This window comes from Homo sapiens, chromosome 1 (assembly GCF_000001405.40).
Source record: "Homo sapiens chromosome 1, GRCh38.p14 Primary Assembly".
Taxonomy (NCBI): Eukaryota; Metazoa; Chordata; class Mammalia; order Primates; family Hominidae; genus Homo; species Homo sapiens.
The window spans coordinates 165,294,615-165,314,836 of record NC_000001.11 but is presented as its reverse complement, the minus strand read 5'-3'; the positions used below and the strand labels follow the sequence as shown (position 1 = coordinate 165,314,836).

Genomic DNA, 20,222 nt, shown 5'->3' with positions numbered 1-20,222 from the left:
TCAGATAATTCTAATAATTATTGGGTGCTTAGTATGAGTAAAGACAACATGCTGGCTACTGTAGAAAACAGAAACTGCTAGTTTTGCTTAAAGAGAGATGCTGGACCCTAGAAATCTTGTGGATGTGGAGACCCTGAACATCTGTGTTCTCTCTTCGTTCAAGCCCTGAGAGACTAAAAAAAGAGAAAAGGGATGGGATCTACAGAATGAGAGGTAATAAAAAAAAAGATATTGGAAGAAATTACAGTTTTGAAAGGGTAGAGAAAAAACTAGAAGAAACAAAATGAAGAAAGACAAAGCTAAGACCTAAAGAAGGAAAAAGGTCAATAAGATGGGGGACCAGCTAGAAAGGGGACTGATCTAACATTAGAGCTACTGCACCCTGTCTCCTGTCAGATCTTAAAGGCAGAAAAGGGTGACTTGTGAAAATGCTACCACTGACCTGGGAGCACCCTGCACTTAAGATGCAAGCATAAAGGTGAAGTTGCTTTAGCCCTTTTTGAAGCATCTGGGATGCTGCATTCATAGAGGCTGGTTCCAGGAGGGTAGGGGGATGTTCTTAGGCCCCCTTTGCCATGCTCTCTGCTTTGTTCTAGAGCTCAGCTATTGCACATGTGGCGACTGTCCTCACGCTGTCACTCCCCCAACCGCTGCCACCCTTAGGAATGTTCCATACAAATGGCTGAGACAGCAGTTATTTCTCAAGGAGGTGTGAGCTTGTGGAGTTATTTGCTGCCTGGCTTAGGGAGCTGGCTTGGTTGCCTCTCTCTGTTGTTAACACTCCTTCCCATAGCTGTGGGGTGAGGGCTGGCCCCTGCCATCTCTAGCATAACCACTCACTGCCTTCATTACCTCAGCTACCGAGCTCAGCCCTGATTTCTGAAAGCAGTTTGGGAAATGTCAGCCAAGGGGTTCCTCCTGTGATGCTGTTTTTGTTGTTGTTGTTACCTGCAGGGATAAGTGAGAAAATGTTGAGTTTTTCTGAAGAGGGCTTTTCTAGCTTTCTTAAAAATACCTTAGCTTTCATGTATGCTCCTATGAGACTGGCTTGTATGCCATGCCTCAGTGAACTCATCTGTCCTCTGGCCTCTCTTGGTTTGACCAGCAAGAGGCACTGGCAGAAGAGCTGAAGGCAGAAGGGAAATGAGCTGGGAATTTATTCCCCCAGCTCCTTCGTGGGCTCTGGTAACTGCTCCCTTCAGGCCTAGGGCTGGCAATAGCTCCCTGAAGTTTCCAGCCTGGGATTCCATACCATTTTTTGTTGCTTTCCTTAAGCCCTGCCCACACCTTTAAAAAAACTCTTCTCTATTATCCAACCCTGACCCCAATAACAACAACAACAACAAAAAAAAAAAAAAAAAAAAAGGAAGAAGGTGTGTGTGACTAAGTATGAAGAAGTTGGTTGATCATTTTAAAGAATGGTTCATGACACCAGGCAGATTTTGGCTTTTTCTAAATGAAATATCAGGTAAGGAGTGGAGGAGATGGGCATCTAGGGTTTAGGATATGTGTTTCTATGATATGGATCAGATCAGCTAGGCCATTAAGCTGGGATGCAGGGCAGCTTCTTGGTTTAATCATCTGCTGCTCCCTCTTGAAATCATTTATACTTTTATATATAATTATTAATTTTTCAACATGGAACTCTGCATTTTCACTTCACCACTGGGCCCCATAAATTATGCTGATCCTGCTGGGATGAACTTACCTGTAGACTCTATATTGTTTCCAATTGGCATAAGTTGAGCATGACTAAACCTCTGTCAATGATGAGGATATAAGGTCATTAGACAAGAATGCCACTTCTTCAGGGGACTTTTTTTTCCCTCTGATATTCAGTCTCTTTGTGTGAGCTAGAGAGGTATAATTGAAAAAGATAATTCCTTTATATTTGGTTCCATTCCATTTTCTTCCACTGAAGTCTAAATATAAATTCCTATCATTCATTGGCACATAACAAACCAAGCCAAAATTTAGCAACTGGAAACAACAGCCACCATTTATTTTGCTAATGAATCTGCAGTAGGGTAGGGCTCAGCAAGGATGGTTTGTTGTTGTTTGGTACAGTGTCTGCTGCAGGCGGACCAGCTGGGGATGGAGGATCTGTTTCCAGGATGGCTCACACATGGGGCCATTAAGTTGGTCCTGGCTCTTGCCTGGGAGCTCGGCTGGGGATGTTGGCTAGGGGATCTTATTTCCTCTCCATCTGAGCCTCTACATAGAGTTGCTTGGGCTTCCTTACAGCATAGTGGCTGGATTCCAAGCATGAACAATCCAAGAGACAGGAAGTGGAACCTACCAATCTCTTAAAACCTGGGCTGGGAAACTGGCACAGTGTGACTTCCCCTGTCATAGAGCCCAGCTAGACTCATGGAGGGGGAAATTGTCCCAGTTCTTGGTGGGAAGACAGTCAAATAATTTATAACCAGATGTCTTTAATCTGGATAAGCATACCTGTTTTATGTATAAAAAAACTAAAAGTAACAGCACAATGAAATTTTCTCAGAGCAACAGCAAATAGGGGCAGAGCTGGACTTAGAGCTCATAAGCTCCTGATTTCCCAGACTGTACTGTGCCTATCATACCATACTGCTCTTTTGCTAATCTAATACACAGCAATAACTCTTCCTTGTTCTCATGGCCCTGGTTTTCAACCTCAAAGCCCATTAGAATAATAATAAGGGAGAAATTCCAGTACTTTTTTAGAACTGCTAAAATAGAGTCCAGGCATTTGAAAACAAAGGAAAACATCCAAATCATTAAAAGCAGAAGCAATTATCATTTGTCAGAGTTGAATAAAGAATATGAGGATATAACAGTACGTGGTTGCCTCTTGCTCCTCTAGAGGCAGAGTGGGTAGCTCAGGACCATCTGCTAGAATGGCCATGGTGGCACTAGGAGTTCTGTTTTGGGTCACTGCAAAGCTGCGAGTTAAGACTGAAGGCTTTTGAGGAGCTCTCAGCCATCGTGAACGGCACATCACACATCAGTGCCCTCTGAGATGCTCTGAGGGAATTGGGCCTTATAGCAAAAATTTGCCCCATCATCCTTCAAAGATCTTGAATGCCTTTGTGCAGGAGAAGCCTGAAGAGCTTGCTTTTCCAGGAGCCTCTGGGGCAAACAAACCCTTCTCTTTCTCTTTCAAAGCTGGGGCTACAGTTTAGAGGTTGCCTAACTCAGGGTGACATCCCTTAACCTTTGATGACAATTCTGGGAAGGAGGCTGTTGGTCTTCAAAGTTTGGAGTGTGTGGCCCTTGGTATGGTATGCCTATCTTCAGGCATGTCCATGCAGTAGCTTCAGGGGCATGAGGGTGTTAAGAGCCAACCAGTGAGCTGGGCCTCCACAGCCGACAGCTGCAGTACCTGGGGTTCTGAGGGGCAGGCCACTCCTGTCGTGTCATCCCTTCAGTGGAAGTAGAATGGGCTTGGGAACTTCTGATGATTTCACTATCCAGTTGAGAGGAGGCTTCTTGTCACACAAACCCACATAAAGCTGGGAATGTGGTCCAAGGATAACTGGGCCTAAGATTCTTTTTACAGATGGGAGATCATTTTTCATATAATTAGGAACCTCCAATAAAGTATTTATCACTTCAGCCCTTTGGGCCCATTATTTTGAAAATCTCTGATGAATAATGCAGTTTATTCTGATCACTCCAATTCCAGTCAGGCATTTCTAGGGAAGAGCAAGGGGCCCTGGCGGAAGAAAAAATGTAAATCCTGTTGATTGAAATACTTAGTTCTCGGAATTCCATTACATCTGTGGATGAGATTGCAGATAAGCCTTAAACTTCTTGAACATTAGAACTTAAAGAAGTGGGAAAGTCAAAATAGAAATAGACTCCCAGATCTGGGGGACATCATGGTGAATATTGTCATAATGGTAACTTTTGCATATAAAGTTCTTTAATTGTCCTGTGGATGATCACATTTATCCAAGATTATTCCGGGAATCATAATCAAATACAACATACTTTCTCAAGTCCTTGTCCGCATCGCATTCCCTCTGTATTGCAAATGCCTGAGCAATGCAGATGAAAGCAGAGTTGAGCTCTCCTCACTTGTGGTTTGACTTTCAGTGGTAATTACTTTCCAGCAGCCCTCAGTACCCACACCTCAAATAAACCAGGATCATTCACTAACATGAAGCGATGCCCAAAATAAAGGAGTGTGGAGAAGGAAACGGGGAGAATAACAGTGCCTAGGCAACATCTGCATCTCCACCCCATTGGATGCATGAGCCTTCTGTTGGTTGCTCATACTGCACAGAGAGCCAGATTGGCTTGGCTTCCAGTTTCGTCAGGGGGTATAATGATGGCTAGCTATGCATGATAACTCACTTTTACTTACTGTTCTATCTTCAGTGCCCTGTGGCTTTTGATAGAGGCAACTTTGACTTTGTAATACTATACCTGATGAGTTTCTATTAAAAACACAAAGAAAACAGACAAAGAAGGTGCTTTTTGTCACCTTACCCTGCTCATTTATTTCATCACTGGAAGCCTGTCAAATCTTCCTGCCTGGTAAGAGCTTGGAGGGAAGGTACAGAAAGTTAGGAGGGTGGAAAGAGACCAAATCTGGGTTAAAGAGGAAGTATCATTTTGTCACCCATCACTAATGAAGAATTCAAATTCATACTGCATAGAGCTGGGAAGAATTTTGTTGGGGTGTCAAATGTCCCTGCCTTTACAAAACTATCAAGCCACTGTGGTGGACAAGAATTCAGAGAGACTGAAACTCTGTGAAATGAAGCAGAGAGCTATGCCCTTTAGTTATAATACTGGGATTCAAATTGTGACTGCCACTTATTGGCAGTAGGGCATCGGATAACAAAGCTGAGGCTTTTGTTCATCTGTAAAATGAGGAGAATATTTGTGCCATAAGATTGTTGGGAATATCTAATGAGACATCTTTGAGGAAATGACTGTTCAGGACAAGTGGATGAGCATTTTTCTCATTTTTTTTCTCGTGAAGGCAGTGGGATGGAATACATCCTCTCTCTGGCACCTTACAATGTGGTGACTGTTGTAGAGGTTGCGATGCTATGATTTGGCTTGTCAAGACCAGCTTACCAACAAGCCTTCAGTTCCAGACACAAAGTTCATGGGGAAGGTGGGTGGTTCACTGGTCTTCTTGAGCATCCAGCAACGTCTGGTCCCAGTGGTTTTTGCATTGCTTTTTGGAGAGGCTGCCGAGAGCCATGTGGGGAGTACAAATTACCCCAATAATCTACAGCACAAGCTGAACCTACAGGAAGGATTGGGCAGATCTTGGCTGGAGATGGTGGGAGGGACTTCCTCAAGGAAAAGAAGAAGCCACTATATAGACAGTTGCTGCTGTTGTTGGCTTTGAGGCAGAAGGCCTGGGGGAAGGTCACAGGGTGCCCTTGCGTCTCTGGCGGAGGGTAACAAATGAGCTGACAGTCTGCCCTCCAGCCCCCCACCAGGACTTCCTCAGTTTTGCCACTGGGGGCTCTTGCTAGGCAGAGGTGCCTTCCCTGCCAGGTTTTTGTTATTAAAGTTGATCCCATGTATCAGAAAATGGAAAGCAAGACTTGGAAATCAGCATCCAAGTGGGATTCCAGGCTCTCTGTAGCAGCGTGTGCCAAGGGCTGGGGGTGGGGAGCGTGCAGCAAGCTCTTCGCTCAGCATCCAGGAGCGAGCCCTCAGCATCATTCACTCTGTCAGGGTATCTCGGTGGTAATCACTTCCAAATGGTGGCAGGGCGGGGAGGGGGCTCCCCTCCAATCACCCAAGGAATGTCTTGACTCAGGACAGAAAGGGAGGTTTTCCATAAGCATCTCTTCTTTCCAAAGGGGACTGGAGATAGAATATGAGACACCCATGAGCCTTTCTTAGCATCATCTATAATAATATTCAGGTCAACAAAACAGAGGGGGAAGGACCAATAACCCAGGATTGTGTCAGGTCCCATTGGCTAACCTGGGAGGTGCTTTCAAGATGAGCAGATCACCCCTCCAGATGACACATGACTTCTCAAGTGTCTTCTGAGGCAGAGACTGGGAGTGGATGCACTGGCACAGATTCTGTCTCTAAATTAATAGGCCCAGGAAAAGTCACTCATTACACTCACATAGACCCAAGCTGTGGAATGTAATGCAAGGGAGTAAAAAGCCACAAGTCCAGGGGACCAATCAAGTCACTTAATCTTTCAGAGCCTCAATTTTCTTGCCTGTAAAGTGGGGATTATAATGTTTGTTTTATAGAATCGTTGTGAGGACTAAATGATACAACTTTGAGAAAGTGCGAATCACCAAGTACGTGCTCAGTACTGTTTTAAAAAATTATATTAAAGAGATTCAATGTCTTTCCTATCATGTTACCTTAGGGACTTTGCTTTCTTCAGTTCTTAGCAGACACTTTGCAGAATCATGGAATCACATACACATGGTATCTAAAATGTATATAGAGCCTTATTGAATTCAGAATGATTCTGTCTGTTTCTTGCTGCAATTCTTACCATTTCCATTTGCACTGGAGGAACCTGAGTAAGGCTGGTGTGACTTGGCCACAAAGCTTGTATGGAAGGTGTTATCGGCTCTCCTCCCTGGCATCTGGTTCTCAGAGGGCTAACTGTGGTTCCTTGGTGTCCAGCGAGTATTCCCCAGTGGTCCAGGGACCAGCCTCCTGTCCTGTGGATATGTTGAATACGATAGCATCAGTGTATCTCTTTCAGTCTTGGACTAATAATTTCCTTATGAAAATATTGACTGATTTTTCCTCAAAACTATTTATTTAATGTGTGATTCCTTCCCTTCTTTTTTTCTTCTTATGTTGTCAAGCAAGTTCCAGAAGCCCTTCTCTGGCTGCTTGACCTCCTGAAATTGTTCTGACTCAACATTTATGGAACCAAGGAGGAAGGGGGAGGAGCATTTGTAGCCATGGTTGGTGGCCTTCACACAGTCTTTTTAAAAATAAAGTTAAAATTTAAAATGTGTTGTTGTTCAGGAACTGTTTTTCATTTAAATTCTGAGTCTAAATGCCAGTCTAAATACATATGGTCAAGTGACGGTCATGCTAATAACTCATTGTACTTTTCCTTGGTCCTTCTACCTGTGGTCCAGGCTCCTATGGATGAAAATTCCCTGGAGGTATGTGCAGAATGCCAGGACCAGCTGACGTGGGTAGGGGTTAGTTGCAAACTCACATGGATCTGTTGTAAGGGTATTGAGGGTTGGAGGTTATGGGAGTGAATCTACTACAATCTCAGCACATATGTATAGCATGTATGCACTGCACACCTCCCAGAATCCCTTCTAGGCATAGCATAATCTTGGGGAGGGGATCCTGATGCTCTTCTTCATTCTGCCTGTGGCATAGGCCCCTTTGTAACTAAGAACTATCCCAAGTTGTACTGTGGCCTTGGGCTTACTCAAACCAGCTCATTTTTTTCTACCTATCTGGCACCTTGGCTATCCAGAATGCTTGTGGAATGTCATCAACCATGTTTTCTGGATAGCAAATATTTATAAGTTTTAAGCCTTTCTGGAACTGGATTTGGTAATATTTGATGGACAGAGCTGTGAAGGCCAATGATGTAATATAGAGTGATTCACACTAAAGTTGTAGTTGCGCTCCCACTTTCTTTTTCTCTTTCTCCCTTTATCTTTCCTCTCACTTTCTTCCCACTTCTAGAGCTGTGCCCTGGCAATCCTTCCTGTATTGGTCAGCACAAAGAGTTTCCTGCCATTTGTTTCACTGTCATTTCTGGAAAAAGAAGGGAAGTTTGGCCTGCTTTGCCTGCACTGCCTGATTCCCTTGCATGAAGCCACAGGGAATTCTCATTACCACTGCCCATATGCACAGACGCAGCCTCTGGCTTCTGCCCGAGAGGACATGGGGAGAGTTGCTGCCAGCAGCTCAGGCTGAGCCCCTCTCCTGCTGACCGCTTCACTCTATGTGCTGCCTGGGCAGGGGGAGGCGGAGGAGGGTGGTATGGCGCACACAGCTTTCAACAAGGACTGGAGAGTGGAAATCCTACTGATGGTGGGAAGTCAGGCAGAGGCAGCCAAACCACTAGCCATCTCATCTCTGGGAGGTACCAGGCACTGTGTATTCTGGATATATTGTGGTGTGAGTGCCACCAACAGGCTGTTGGGGATATTCAGAGCCCATCCTGTGCTGACTACATTTGGGAAGGAGCCATCACTGTGTTATACAGGAAAATACAGAAAGAGCAAACTAGCAATCAAGTTGAGCTTTTCTGAGAGTGTATTGGTTAGCTATAGCTACAGGACTGTTGCATAACAAAGCATCCTAGAACTAAAGACTTAAAAAAGCCAAACACTTATTCTCACCCTTGGGTCTCTGGGTGGGCAGGGGCAACTTTGTTTCAGACTATGGGTCACCTGGACTTACCCAGGCTTCAGGCGGGGTCCAGGTATTGTTCCACATTCTTTTTGGATCAAGAGCCACTTAGATGTGTTCTCATGGAGAATGACAGAAGCCAAACCACACACTCACATTTACTCACATTCCACTGCCCAAACAAGTCATATGGTGAACCCAACCTAAGTGGAAGAGGGAAATTTATATCCAAAGGGAGGGGCAACAGGAGAGTGACTATTTATTAAGTGATAATCTAAAATATCACACAAGGTTACACATCTACAATTTCCATTAACCTGAGCTCTGGAGACTAGATGAACAGGTGGGAGGAAGAAGGTTGGAGGAGTAAAGGATGTCTGATGGGTGGGTATGAATTTAGTGTGGGGAGAGCTTAGGGATACAGGTTCAGACAGGAGCTGGGCAATGAGAAAGCTGACTTTTTCTGTACGCACGTCTGGGACATGGTTTTCACAAATGACGTTCATGCTAGTAACGCATTGTACTTCTCCTTGGTCCTTCCTCCTGTGGTCCGGGCTCCTATGGATGGAAATTCTCTGGAGGTGTGTGCAGAATGTCAGGACCAGGGCTGTGCTCGTTTTGCATGTGCTATGGCTCTTGGTTGGTCACTCCTTGGCTCACTCACCATATCATATCTCATTGGCCCTAACTCTGGAGTCTTGGTACTTAACCTGCTGTGGTTTTCAAAGAACTGTGAATGTGGGCTGTGTGCCCATGAGTGAGACCAATAATAAAGATAAAAAGAAGCCAGATTCAAGTTGGATACTGCCAGTACTTTTGTCAGATTTCTGTATCTCTGTGTTTCTTTGGAGCAACTGATGGATATCCAATTTGACGTTTTCACTGTGGAATGTGTAGTTAGCTAAGCTCTGCCCAGGAGCTGTGTCAGAAAGGACAGTGGTTGTAGGGACTCCTCTGCTTCATGATACTTAGCCCCTCTTCTTGCTTTGGCCCTGAGTGGAGAGGTTTATTTTAAAATGTGATATTTGGCCTACTGGGTCCTTTCATACTTAAGCTTCAAGATTCTCTGCTTGATGTCTTTGTTCCCTCTCACGCTTGCTTTCTAGAACATTCCATCCCAGATGGTGTTATATGTCATAAGTTTGTCTCCCTTCATCTCTCTTTCCTCTCCCCTTTGCTCAGTCATAAATTTCCAGTGGAGGGGCCCTTTCTCCAGGATCCTGCCACTGCTGGGTGGCAATATGTGTCGACGAGTCCATCGACCCCATTACCTGGGAAGTGTGCTATTTAGCTAAATTACCGCTACCTGTTGACTAGTCCAACTGCACATGTCTCTCACCTTCCTTTCTGTGTTTCCTTTCACTAGCACCTACTATGTGCTGGGCACCTGAGACACACAGACATACACACGCAAGAGAGACAGACACACTCCTTGATCTCAGGGAGGGGGCACTCTCTAGAGGGCCCAAGAGACAAGGAATAGAGATCCTTATAATGCAAAGTGGTAAGTGTAGAGTGATGAAACAATGTGCAGGTTATAACTGGAGCATGAGGTAGATGCACCCAGCCTGCTGTGGGGCAGGTGGTGGGGGAAGGTGCATGACAGGTGTCTGGAAGGAGATGATGCCTGAGCAGATTTGGCAGACGAGGAGAGGGGAAGTTTTCCAGGCTGATGGGACAATCTGAGTAAAGGCACCAGACAAGGAAGAGGATGCCAGGCACCAGGGAGAAAAAAGAAGTTCAGCATTGCTAGATTATGAAGGTCCAGACAGGGACTAGCAGGTGATGAGGCAGGGAAGGGCAACGAGGGTCAGATCATGGAGATCCTTGGATATCATGGAAGGGACTTGGGTTTAGGGATCTTTGAAAAGCTTGAAGCAGGGGAATGACATGGTAAGATTTGCATTGTGTTTATATAAGAACATTAACCATGTGCAGTTAATTCTTAATTATCTGGGTCGAGGGAGTAGAAATAAGTAGAAATGAGCAGACCCAATCATAACTGATTTTCATCTTTGACTGTATATCCAAACCAGTCCTGCATGCTCCTGATGACCAAGTTTAGAAGTGGCATATCTTGGGTGACATAGTCCCCAAACAGGAAATGTGTTGTTTATATAAATAATTGAGAGAAGCCTGAACCAACTCTCATGGTTATTGAGTTCCTTTTTCTTTCTGAGACTGGACTACAATCTTGGAGGACAAGATATTTTTGGGGTGGGAGAGGCTAAAGTTTATATGACACTTGCCCTAAGCCAGGCACATACCATGGGCTTTCTGATCCCATGAGATGGGCTCTATTATTGTTCCCACTTTATAGATGAGGAAACCGAGGCCTGGAGAGGTTAAGTAACTTTCCCAGGGTTACCCTATTAGTAAAGAGTGGAGCCTGGCTTCACCACCTCCATTCTGATCACCTCCAGAACTGAGGATCAGTAGAACCAGTAGAACTGAGGATTAAACCAATGTGTAATGTAGTGACCACCGTGACCCTTTCCTTTCTCAGGCCCAGGGTTTGTGCACCTTAGATGAAGGGTGTAATAAACTTTGCAATTTAAGAAAACAACAATCTCTGGCGTGGGGTAATCCCACCCATATACTAGATATAATATCTGCGTGGAAGATATGGAAAGCTTTATACTCTGTTCCTACTGCTTTAAAGTCCACCCCAGCCTCCACAGCTTGGAATGAGGCTGTTTAGAAAAATAATTGTTAGAGCAGAGGGGTCTTAGGATCTAGCAGGAGGCTGACTCTGGGGGAAGTGGCTTCCTTCCTGGTCTTACCTTGGCCCTTTACATTCCTGTCCAGTACCCGCCTACTTCCCATCATGCTTTGCGTCCCTGGGACCCAGAGGGCTGGTGGTCTGAGTGAAGGATAACTGACTGCAGGCGTAGGCGATGTCTGGAGGAACAAGTCATTGGGCTGCCGAAGCCAAGTCCGTGACCAGCACAATCCCAGGAGGGCCAGCAGTTTGTGGTTACTTGGCCACTCTTCCAGCTGAGGAATGTACTTCCCCCTTCTCATCTGTCTTGTGCTTTTGTAAATTTTGACGAGGATCAATGAACAACCCAAAGCACCAGAGTGGGTACAAGGTCAGCCAACCATGAAGCGTTCCCAGCCCCCAGCACATTGGGAAGAAGTAAGATGCCACTTCTGAGCCATAAAGGAGATGATCACTTTTGTGGATAAATGCAGCAGAAACACTGTGGGCTATGGAATGGTGGAAGCACAGGGAGCAGGTCCCAGATTTACCTTAAGGTTCAGGAGCATCTTGGAGTTCTCTGACTGTTTTGTGTGGTAATTTTGGCACACAAGGAGCGTTCTCACTAGCTCAACATTCCTGGTTTTGGACCAAGATGCATGAAAATTATACATTATCTTTCTCCTCAAAGCTTGAAAAGTCTTGAGTGTTTCATTATGATTATTTATACTCTATCCTTCCAAAGAAGATTTGAAGCAATTTATAATGAAGACAAAGATATAATAAGATGATTGTAAAAAGAATAGAAGAATAACAGCAAAGTAATGAAGGGAGTAGTGTGGAGCAAGAAGTGTTCCAAACAACATAGGCTAAGGGGATCATTTCAGTTAAGCACATGAAACCTAGTTCTGAGCTTCCTAGAAGCTGGGAGGAAAATCAACTATGCTGAGTTACAGGAGGCTACATTTCTAGCAACTGGTAGCCTCCTCACATACCTAGAGAGAAAAACCTAACCCTGGCACTTTTCTCTAAGGAGGAGGAAACATAAGGATGATTGTCCTAGGGTCATTGAGCAATTAGACAGCAATAAAAATGACCTTACCAAAAATTCAGTGGTAGTGCTGTGTCATTCGTCTTCATTATGGCCAGGTGAAGTAAAAGTGATTGTTTAGGCACAGATGGTTTTGATGGATAGAAGTGGAAACTGAAGGCAAGGACATGGATCGTCATTGCAAAGGGTAGTGAATGAGTGAGGAGGAAGATTTTGAACAGAAGCAATGTCAGCATCACCAGCCACATCTCAGAACATTCTCTGCTTTCTTTTCTTTTCTTTCTTTTTTTTCCTTTATTTTATTTTATTTTTTTTGATGGAGTCTCACTCTGTTGCCCAGGCTGGAGTACAGTGGTGTGATCTTGGCTTACTGCAACCTCCATCTCCTGGGTTCAAGCAACTCTCCTGCCTCAGCCACCTGAGTAGCTGGGATTACACGCATGCACCACAACACCCGGCTAATTTTTGTATTTTTAGTAGAGATGGGGTTTCTCCATGTTGGCGAGGCTGGTCTTGAACTCCTGACCTCAGGTGATCCACCCCGCCCCCCACCGGCCTCCCAATGTTCTGAGATTACAGGTGTGAGCCACCACACCCAGCCTCATTCTCTTCTTTCACTAGTACAGAGGGAGGGAAAGCAGAAAAGGGGGTTTGGGAGACTTGGTTTCTTATTGTCTCTGCTGTTTTGAGTGTCTGTCTGTGTGAACTTGGGGAAGTCACTTAATTGTGGTTGAGCAAAATTCAGGCCTTACAGTTTCTTCCTCTGTAAAACAAGAAGACGAATGATGTTTTGAAGATCCCTTTGTACTCCAGCATTCTATGAGTTGATATTCCCCCCACCCCCAACCAATAGCTATAAACTTAAGTGGAACCAAGTGAAATAAGTCATCTCACAAGGAAATACTTCACCTTGAAAAAGTAAGTGGCTTTCCAGGGATAAATAACTTGGCAACAGTTTAGAACAAAAGAAAAAGAAAAGAACCAGTTTGTTCTTTCATTCTTCTTATTCTTGTTCTTGTTTTGTTTTGTTTCTGTGTTCACTATCCTCATTGCTTGATTTTGTTTTCTTTTAAAAGTACATCTTGGAACCTGGCTGTCATTTTTGACACTGGAGGAGCATATTTAGCAGCGCATTCTCACCTTTTATGTTTGTTTGTTTTTTAACACCAAATTTCCTCAGATTGGAAGCTGCCTGTCTGGGTAAACAGGGAGAAGGGCACTTCTTGGAATGGGCATTGAGTAAGCAGGAATGTTAGCTTGGTATGATGCAGTGCATTTCCCAGCTCCTTGTCCTCTGTGTGTGTGATGTAAATAAACTTTAGGTTTTACAGAAATCATAATGTGTTATAGAATTGTACTGGCAGAGAAGTGTGTGTGTGTGTGTTGTCGGGAGTGTAATCTTGGACTCAGGCTAGTTTTGGTGTAAGCCAAACGTTGTGCAGCGATGGGGGGCTCTGCAATCAGGTATTCAACCATACAGTTGCCAGGTGGGACGAGAGGCAGGTGGGTGTAACACCCAATGGAACCAGAGCAGTGGAAAGTCCACGTGTTAAAGGGGAAGGGATATTAAAATGGCCCATCAAGGGTTTCCACAGATGGTACAGTGTAGCTGCCCCACGGGTTCTCACCAGGTTTGGAATTGTGTTAAGCCGGTCCTGAGAGTTGGTGGTTTTGAGTCAGCATCATGCATATTTGCACAGTGGGCAGTGAGGAGAATTTTCCTATGATTTCATAAATAAGGAAAGCAGATATCTGGGCTCCATTTCATTACAGATTGAGCCTACTGCTGTCAAACTCCTGGCCCTCAGATCCTCTAGCCCTTAGATGCCACCTAGGGTTTCTCTACTTTAGCTCCCCAGTGGGCTAAGTCCCTCTGTAATATACCTGGGTTCACAGACATCCTGGGAATCATGAATGAGGAGAAGCAGGCAGGGTGAGAAGGGGGAAGGGAGAGTTCTCGGCATTTCTACAATATTATATGCAAGTGCTCTGCAAATAAAATGCAAATTAAAACTGAGCGCTCTGGCACTGAGCAAAGGTGATGCAAATTTGCTTTTAATTTCTCTTCTGTGCAGTTGCAAGCACTACCAAAGCATCCAGGGAGCTGTCATGGGGACCAGAGAAGCAGGGAGCCTCAGGGAGGAGCTGAGGCTGTTTTGTGGTCAGTTATGGACTTGACCATTGGTCCTTCCTGCTTAATGTATGCATAAAGTGCTGCTCTTCTGAGAACAGCTGATGAGAACCACTTTCACTCTAGAGTTTTCTCTGTAGTAAAAGCAAGGGAGGCTTGGGAGAAAGAAAAGCCCTTAACTTGGGTCAGCTCAAGGTTTTAATGGGAAGAAGGATGGGTTAGGCATTTTCTTGTGAGTCTGAGCAACTCTGTTGAGGAAAGTCTTGGAAGCTGCCCCAATCCAAGTGAACATTAGAGATGAGAAAGCCCTTTCCAGAAGGTTAAGTGGGTAGTTAAGTAAACAGGTCACACATCGGGCCTAAAGTTGTGAGCATATTTTAATTGATAGCAGGCTCTGGTCAGCTCCAAGCTCAAAATGATTTGGTGAATGCTCCGGATTTCAGCTGAGAGTTGTAGGGGTTCTGAGAATTGGACAGGTGAAGGAGTTGACCTGGGACCACTCGTTGGGGGGCATGCTCAGCAAGGTGTCCAGTGAGATCAGAAGCACCATGAGACTGACTCTTCCCAAAAGGGTCTGAGAAAGAGTCTCCTGATCCAATGGCTCTTATCTCACCCAAGATTCTTGAGCAGCCAGGCCTAGGTGTCAGAAACAGTGACCCTATAGTCGTACTGGGTCAAGTCTAGGCTCCAAAGCCAGGCTTAAAATTTCCCTGTCTTGGGGGAGGTCAGGGAGAAAAGAAGGTATTTGGGAGATAAAGTAAGGGGTCAGGAAGAACTAACTGCCACCTCTTGCAGGTTGCTAATAGTACAGTATAGTTACTAAAATAATACTACTACTTTTTTTTTTTTTTTTTTAGTGTGTTTCTTGGTTTCCTTGTTGTCAGACATACGTGCAGGAACTCCAAGAGAGAAATATGTTTTAACATCCCGAAACTGAATTATTAAATGGGATTAACTTGGTGTTGACTTTTCTTCATGGTCGATTTGCAGTATAAACTGGGTTTAAGGCATCTTTTACTAAACCTTCTGGATTTCAGTAGATCGCATTGGATGAGCCATTCATTAAAGATTTCATGCTGATGTTATTTGTTTAGGCTTTGATGCCCTTTTTCTGTTTTCCCTCCCCTTTTGTTCAATAATGATATCTTTCAGGCAGAAAATACCTTCCGTCCTATGGTATTAAGGGCTTTCCAGGATAGAGAGCATGGCCCCATGGCCAGTGTCTAGGCAGGAAATAGAGAACTTAGGTTCCCTGCCTTCCTGATCCCCAAACAGCCATCCAGCTAGGACTGGCTACAAGAATGGAGGGGCGCTGGACTCCTTTAGCTGCTTATTGAAGCCTCAGATCCATTAAAAAGGGAGCTTTCCTTTTCATTTTACTCTCAAACATCCAGAGAGAAGTAATGGCTTAAATTTATACTGACGTGTAAATGTCCATTACAGCATTCTTGTCAGAGAGCAGATACTGAAGAGAAGAGGAAGAATCAGGCATCTGGGGCTGAGATATACCAGAAGGATGCTGGGTTTTGTTAAAGTCATGGGTCTGAAACATACTACCCTTGGACAAGTTATTTAGCCTCTCTGAGTTTCATTTTTATCATCTACAAAATGGGAAAAATAAAAATATCTCTTGGAGTTGTTGTAGGGTTAAATAAAATTATTATTGAAGACAGCTTAGTATATAACACATGCTCAGTATTTGATCTCTTCTCACATGCAGACACTTCATATAGCTGAAATCATACTGTTTGTATTGTTTTAATATGCTGCCTTATAAAATAAGCACCTTCTGTAATTCTGCAGTCTTTCACTCACTATTGTTAGTGGCTGTCCAGTGTTCTGTAGGGTAATTTGCTAAATTTATAATTCTTGGTCATTTTGATTGTTTCTAAAAGCTACAGTCCTTTCTGTAGGCCTTGGAGGCTCCTTTTATGGGGAAGTTACACCTTATGTGGGTTCATAACAGAAAATGCCACCTCGGTTTCTTTTGGAACACTGACAAGAGATGATCTCAGATGATGTGGCAGCATTTCACATGGGCCAGCTGCCTTGGCCCTGGACAGGGGTTAGCCGCCAAAATCCAGAATGGCAGGTAAAATATCATTCCCAGCCCTTTCAGCCCCCGGTTAATTGTGTGTTCTTGCACCTGGACCTCCTGACTGTGTGTGTCCATAGCAGCATGTCCTGCTTGCCATTTAGAACTATGTGGCCAATTGTGCTGAATTCCTCCCTTTGTCCCTGATGGCTGCCTCAGCCCCAGGCTGTACTTTCTCCCTGACGGGCCTGCAAGCCTTTCAGCTGAAAAGTTGCTCTTGAGCCCCCAGAGTCATTTCAGCCTTCAAGTGATGGAGGCCCTCACCGGCAGTAAATCAGCTCTCATCTCCGCAAATAGCTGCATAAAAACCAGTCTGGCCAGAGGAAAGCACACCTGCACTGAGGCGCTGGCGGGCTCTAATGAGCAGAAAGAGAATCAGCCCTGAGCTTGGGTACTTGCACCCAAGGAGATGCCCCTCTGGCACATTTTAGGTTTCAACTCTTATCTCAAGTTTATTTCTTTCAAGTCCTGTAAGGTTACTTCTTCAAAGAACATCTTGCATTGTCTTTATGCCACATGTCTGCTTTCCTGGCTTAGGAAACAAGAATTAACTTTTAATGTGACAGACATTTGACATACATTGTCACATTGAAGCCTCACGGCTTGATGCAGTGGACTGGGTTTTGTTATTTTTATTTTATAGATGAGGAATCTGAGAGGCTGAATGACTTGCCTGAGTTCCCACAGCTATAAAACATTGATGCCGATGATGGGGCTCAGTTACGCTGACTCCAAAGCTTGGCAGTGGCTCAGTAGAGTGAGCCTTCTTCTCCCTGGTTCACAGGCTTCCCTGGAGGCTGGTTGTGGAGGGTCTCAGAAAGGGTCATTTGGGACACAGCCCTGGAAGTCACAATAAAAGCTCAATGTTGGGGCCTGGAGTCTCTTGGGAACCCCTTTCTATTTCTACTAGACTCTAGCCACTAGCCCATCCTGATCCCCACTGTCTCCATCCGGAGTGTGGAGGCCATATAAGACCTTTGCTTGCCATCCTGCTTTTCAGTGTTGAGTGTTCTGCTTCTTAAGTGCAAACTGAGGACAGCCAGAGACTTTGTTTTAGACTGTTTCAACTTCCACTAAGAATCCAGACTTCCAGGGCTGTTTTCAGCCCCATGTTTTCCAGCTGAGATAAAGGATACAATATTCCTTCCTTGGGAAGCTTTAGAAAATACTAATGCCTAGCCCCTGCCTAGACCAATTACACCAGAATTTCTAGGGATGTGGCCTGAGCATCTGACTTTTTAAAAACTCACCTGGTTATTCTAATGTGCTGCTAGGGTAGACAGCCTTTATTTTAATTTCTGAAGGAAAGAGATTTCCAGCACCTGGGTGAACACAAGGGCAGAAGTGGGAAGGGTTTGAGTGAACAGAGGTAGAGACAGGGAGTTTCACGTGCTCATTCATTTAGGACCTAGTGTGTTCCAAGCACTGTGCTGGAAACTGAGCTCTACAGATGTCTAAGACATCCACTTCCTTCACGGTCTGCTGGGGGAGACAGACACACAGAAAATGAACTGTGATTGCACTCAGACCAGGACACCTGTTAGGAGTTTGCGGACCTTCCTGTACATCTAACTCATCCAAGGAACTTGTTACAAATGCAGAAGCCTTTTGGCTAACACTTTTGCTAAATGTGGGTCCACCTTCTTGCTAAATCAAGCAAAATTAAACCCCACGCCTTTCTTGTAATATACACAATAATGGAAAGGAAATGTGCATTCTTTAAAACAAAAATATAAAAATACATTGCTTGCAACATTAGCCAGTTCAGGAAGCCTTGTTCACCCTGAGATATCTGTTCATTCACACAAGAAACAGCAGATGTGAGAGGGAAAAGGGGCAGAGGCCCAGATCCCATTATATGAGGTCTGATATAGGAACCTTGGGTGGGGCCCAGACATCTGCCGTTTATACCACACTAGAGGTATGAAGAGAGTGTCTGAGGGAGCAAGGGGAAGGAGCAGTTAATTCTGAATGGCGACATTGAAGAAGGTGACACAGTCAACGTGATACCTGAACTGACTTTCTAAGAGCAGGCCCTTCTCCACTGAGCCACATGCAATTGGGCACACAGAACACTTTGCAGGGTATGATGGTGCCTCTCCCTTGAGAAGGTTCACTGTAGTGTGCCCTGTGGGGCCTGCTCCTGTGCCATTCCCTGCCTCACTCTTCACACTGTAGTATGTGTCTCTGTGCCTTGCATGTGTGCTTCCCCTGGTTGTAACACCCTTCTCGCTTTTCCTCAATGGATTAATTTCTCTTCGTTGTTGAAACTCAAGCCAGGGCCCTTCTTTTGCAGGAAGATTTTGCTGTATCTGAGACTTGCACTTTGAGAAACATGCATGTTTGGTGCTCACCATTTCACCATGTCTTTTGAAAAGTATGTAAGGATGGACAGAGTGTGATAGACGAAGGAGGGGAGATATGTTGGGAAATATAACTAGTTTGATTGGTGCATCAGTTTCTATATATGTATATATTTTGAGTGGGATTGCTAAACCAGATCTTTAATAAGTTCTCTAAAGGTTACAACTGTTTCCAACAAACCTTTTCTGGCCAAAGAAATATTTAGAGCAAGAGAAGAATAAATATGCAATATCCCCTCCTGTAGTCCAGGATGGCACCCCAGACCTGGTGTGCAGATTCCAGGCCCATATGTTCGATTTGCTTCTAACAGCAACATGAACTTTATGTTTATCCCGGTTCTTTTCCTGTCTGCCTCTGGGAGGTAGTTTTCTCCTGGGCATGTGACTGAGACCTGCCAGTTGGGGGAATCCTCTCCTTAAACAGCAGGGACAATCTCACCTTTCTGCTTATGGGTTTAATACCTATTGTTTCACCCTATCTCCTAAAAGGGGAGAAAAGTATCTCCACTTTTACACACAAGTATGTGGAATGTATCAGCATCCACTGATCATGTACTTTGATTTCAGTTAGGTGGCTTTGACACAGATGCCTTTTCCTTGGGAAGGCTGGGATCTTATATCTGGGAGTTGGGAAAAAATGAATCTTCAAGTTTGTCAAGGTGATGTCATTATGTTATGTCTCCAATATATTAATAATATATATTATATATATATTTTATATATTATAAAAATATAAATATTTTTAATTTATATCTGATTATAATAGGGCTACCTATTTATTACGGCAAATTTGGAACTTATGAAAAAATAATAAAGAACAAACAAAAATTACCCATCATCTTACTATCTATAAATAATCACTGTTAATGTTTTGGTAGTTAGCCTCCCAGATTTTTTTTTCTTTTTTTCTGCCTATATATTTTAGTGGGGATTATCTTCTACATCTTATTTTATAATCTGCTTCTTCATTTAACAATTACTGTGAACACTTTCCCATGTCATTAAAAGTTCTTTCACATTTCCAACATCAGTTTAAATCCTGCATTAAATTGAAGTCTTATACCATATAATACAGGTACTGAACATCAGTGATTTCTTTTTAGGTATTTATAGCTGAAATTTATAGATGGGCTTCAGAGCAACATCAGTGCATCCTCTATAATTGCATGCAAATGTTATGTGCGTGTGATTTTTTTTTTCTTTTGAGATGGAGTCTTGCTCTGTCACCCAGGCTGGTGTGCACTGGCGTGATCTCGGCTCATTGCAACCTCTGCCTCCCGGGTTCAAGGGATTCTCCTGCCTCAGCCTCCCATGTAGCTGGGATTACAAGCATGTGCCACCACATCTGGATAATTTTTGTATTTTTAGTAGAGATGGGGTTTCACCATGTTTGCCAGGCTGTTCTCGAATTCCTGACCTCAAGTGATCCGCCTGCCTCGGCCTCCCGAAGCGCTGGGATTACAGGCATGAGCCACCGTGCCCAGCCCGCATGTAATTTTTATAAGGAGAAGGACCATAGCTTTTATCAGATACTCAAAGGCTTAACTGCTAAA

General features: G+C 44.1%; 1 protein-coding gene across 3 annotated transcripts in view, besides 2 other annotated features; it reads left to right on the top strand.

Moving 5' to 3' along the window:
* The window catches only part of LMX1A (LIM homeobox transcription factor 1 alpha), a 154,849-nt gene that overhangs the window by 41,879 nt on the left and 92,748 nt on the right, over positions 1-20,222 (top strand). The gene's annotated exons all lie outside the window — the stretch shown is intronic.
* Positions 9,406-9,575: an enhancer, noted in NCBI's record as "experimental_852 CRE fragment used in MPRA reporter constructs". NCBI's record gives its function as "activates a minimal promoter by MPRAs in K562 erythroleukemia cells, with activity observed for the introgressed 1:165274584 or rs35980722 variant allele {active_cell/tissue: K562}" and the evidence as "EXISTENCE:reporter gene assay evidence [ECO:0000049][PMID:34662402]".
* Position 9,490: a transcriptional cis regulatory region, noted in NCBI's record as "Neanderthal adaptively introgressed variant 1:165274584 (GRCh37/hg19 assembly coordinates) or rs35980722 in the experimental_852 CRE". NCBI's record gives its function as "modulates activity of the experimental_852 enhancer by MPRAs in K562 erythroleukemia cells {active_cell/tissue: K562}" and the evidence as "EXISTENCE:reporter gene assay evidence [ECO:0000049][PMID:34662402]".